Source organism: Homo sapiens, chromosome 11 (genome assembly GCF_000001405.40).
Source record: "Homo sapiens chromosome 11, GRCh38.p14 Primary Assembly".
Classification (NCBI taxonomy): Eukaryota; Metazoa; Chordata; class Mammalia; order Primates; family Hominidae; genus Homo; species Homo sapiens.
In genome coordinates this window covers 98,156,322-98,159,154 of record NC_000011.10, presented here as the reverse complement: position 1 = coordinate 98,159,154, position 2,833 = coordinate 98,156,322, and positions in this window count along the sequence as shown.

Genomic DNA, 2,833 nt, shown 5'->3' with positions numbered 1-2,833 from the left:
ATATGCCCTGATCTCCTGCAGTACCCTCTGCCTTACTAGGATTTGGAAATTCCAGCCTGGTAAATTCTAGTCAGATCGGTTGTCAGCTCTTGAACCCTGTTTCCTGTTAAGATGTTTATCAAGACAATGTGTGCCCAGCGGGACATGGACCCTTATCAGTAATTCTAATTTCACCCTTGCCTTGTGATCTTGCTCTGCCCTTTGCCTTGTGATCTTTTATTGCCCTTTGAAGCATGTGATCTCTGTGACCTACTCCCTATTTGTACACACCCTCCCCTTTTGAAATCCCTAATAAAAACTTGCTGGTTTTGCAGCTCGAGGTCGCCATCATGGTCCTACCAATATGTGATGTCACCCCCGGAGGCCCAGCTGTAAAATTTCTCTCTTTGTACTCTTTCTCTTTATTTCTCAGACCAGCTGACACTTAGGGAAAATAGAAAGGACCTACATTGAAATATTGGGGGCTGGTTCCCCCAGTAGGAAATTACAGGAAGTTTACTAGGCCCAAGCAGAAGCTGTGGAGATGAAGAAAATATGTTACTGATATAAACTGTATGTCAGTGACTGTATGGTAAAAATACAATGTGATAGTTAAGAGCAATAAGAAGAATTTCAAGATGACTCCCAGGTTTCTGGCTTGAGAAGGAATGCGAGGTAGGTTTAATATCCAAAACCCAATTTTGATAGTTAGTTTTATGTCAACTTCACTGAATCATGGATTGCCTGGATATCTGGTCAAACCTTATTTTTGGATGTGTCTCTTACAGTTAGTTAGATAGTCAATGAGAGGGGTAGAAGAGGGCTCTCCCCCACCCACTAGGAATGTTGGGTGACAGTTTAGCAATGATTGCATTTCCTCTTTTAAAATGAGAATTCAGTAGCCAGGGAGAGGCCATTTCCTGATGGATTACATCCGTTAACACCAAAATGTTAATTGAAGGTAGGCCCCAGGGAGCATGCGTGTTAACAGACAAAATGGTGAAGATATTCTAGGGACACACTAACCCGGAAAAGGAAAGAAAACCTCTGATGGGCATGCATATAACTTCCTAAAATACACTGCATGTGCTCAACTCCAAAGCGTAAGGAGAGCACTTAGCATGCAGGAAGCACACCTGAAAAGAAGAATCCTGGAAAAGGGGCAAGCCTATAAAGTCCTAGGATCAAGGTTAAATGCCCATTTTTGTCCACTTGGGTCTCTTGCAAGCAAATTTTCCTTTCTTTCCTGTTCAAAAGCCTTTTAAAATAAACTTTGTCTCCTGCCTTGGAACTTGCCTTGGTCTCTTTTTCTGCTATATGCCCCTCAGTATAATCATTTCTTCTGAAGAGGCAAAACTGAAGTTGCTGCAGACCTGTATGGATCCACCACCAGTAACTCAGGGTAACTCGAATCTCTGCCACCACTAGCATGTCTGAGAGGGTGCTTCTTGGAGATATTAGTATTTAAATTGATAGACTAAACATGTGGATTTGCATCTCCTTTGTGGGTGGGCATCATCTAATCCATTGAGAGCCTGAATAGAACAAAAAGGTGGAGGAAGGGAGGATTTGTTTTCTCTCACTCTGCCCAAAAACTTGAACTAGAACACTGATCTTCTCTTGCCCTTGCTGCCCCTAGTTTTCAGGCTTTCATACTTGGACTGAAATCTATACCATTGGTTCTCTGACTCTCAAGACTTTGAACCACGCTACTGGCCTTTCTGCATCTCTAGCTTGCAGACAGTAGATCATGGGACTTCTCAGTCACTATAATCATGTGAGCCAATACTTTACAGAAAATACAATAAAGCAGTATCTTGCTGCTTGTGTTTCTCTGGAAAATTCTAAGTAATACAGCAACCAATAGAATTTTAAAAAACACAAGATCATTTCCTCATTTCCAGTATAGGAAGACAAAGCATTTGACAAAATTCATGAACCCTTCGTATTAAAAGCAGTAGTAGAGATGAAAAAAGAAACTTTATCAAACTGACTAAAAGCATGTATAAAAATTTGATAGCTGACATCATACTTATCTGTGAAAGACTGAATTTTTACCAGAAAGATCAGGGATAAGATGAAGATGGCCATACTCTCCACTCTTATTACACATTGGATTAGAATTTTCAGTCAGATAAACTAGGTAACAACAACAACAAAAGAGTGGAGACCAAAATTGGAAGGGAAAAGTACAACTATCTTTATTTGTTAATTGCATTATGGTTTATATATGAAATCCCAAGGAATCCACTAACAACTATTACACCTAATAAACAAGTTTAGCAAGGTTAGGATCCAAGATCAATACATAGAAGTCAATTGCATTTTTATATACTTCCAAGAAATAATAAAAAAAAATTTAAAAAATTCAATTTTGAAAAGCAGCAAAAAGAATAATATATAGAGACATAAATTTAAAAAATAAATGCAAGACTTGTACACTAAAATGTGTAAAACATTATGAAAAGAAATTAAAGATTTCTTTTCCTAAAAATATGGAAAGAATTCCAGGTAAATGTATCAGAAGTCTTAATGTTGTTAAAATAACAATAATCCCAAATTAGTCTGCAGATTAAATACAATCTGTCTCAAAATTCTAGCTGGAGAAATTTAGAAATTTACATTTACAAAATAATACAGGAGCTAGAAACAAATTATTTAGGCAGACAGTGAGGGCAACAGAGTCCTCAGCAGAGCTTCCCTTCTGAAAAAAAAAAAGCAGCCCCCACAAAACATGTCTTTTCTAACAAGAAGCAGCCTGAAAAATCGAGCTGCAAACATAGATAAGCCAACTGGAGGTTTTCACAAGGGAATGCCAGCAGGTGTGCCAATAGAAAAGGGCTACCTGGGGGCC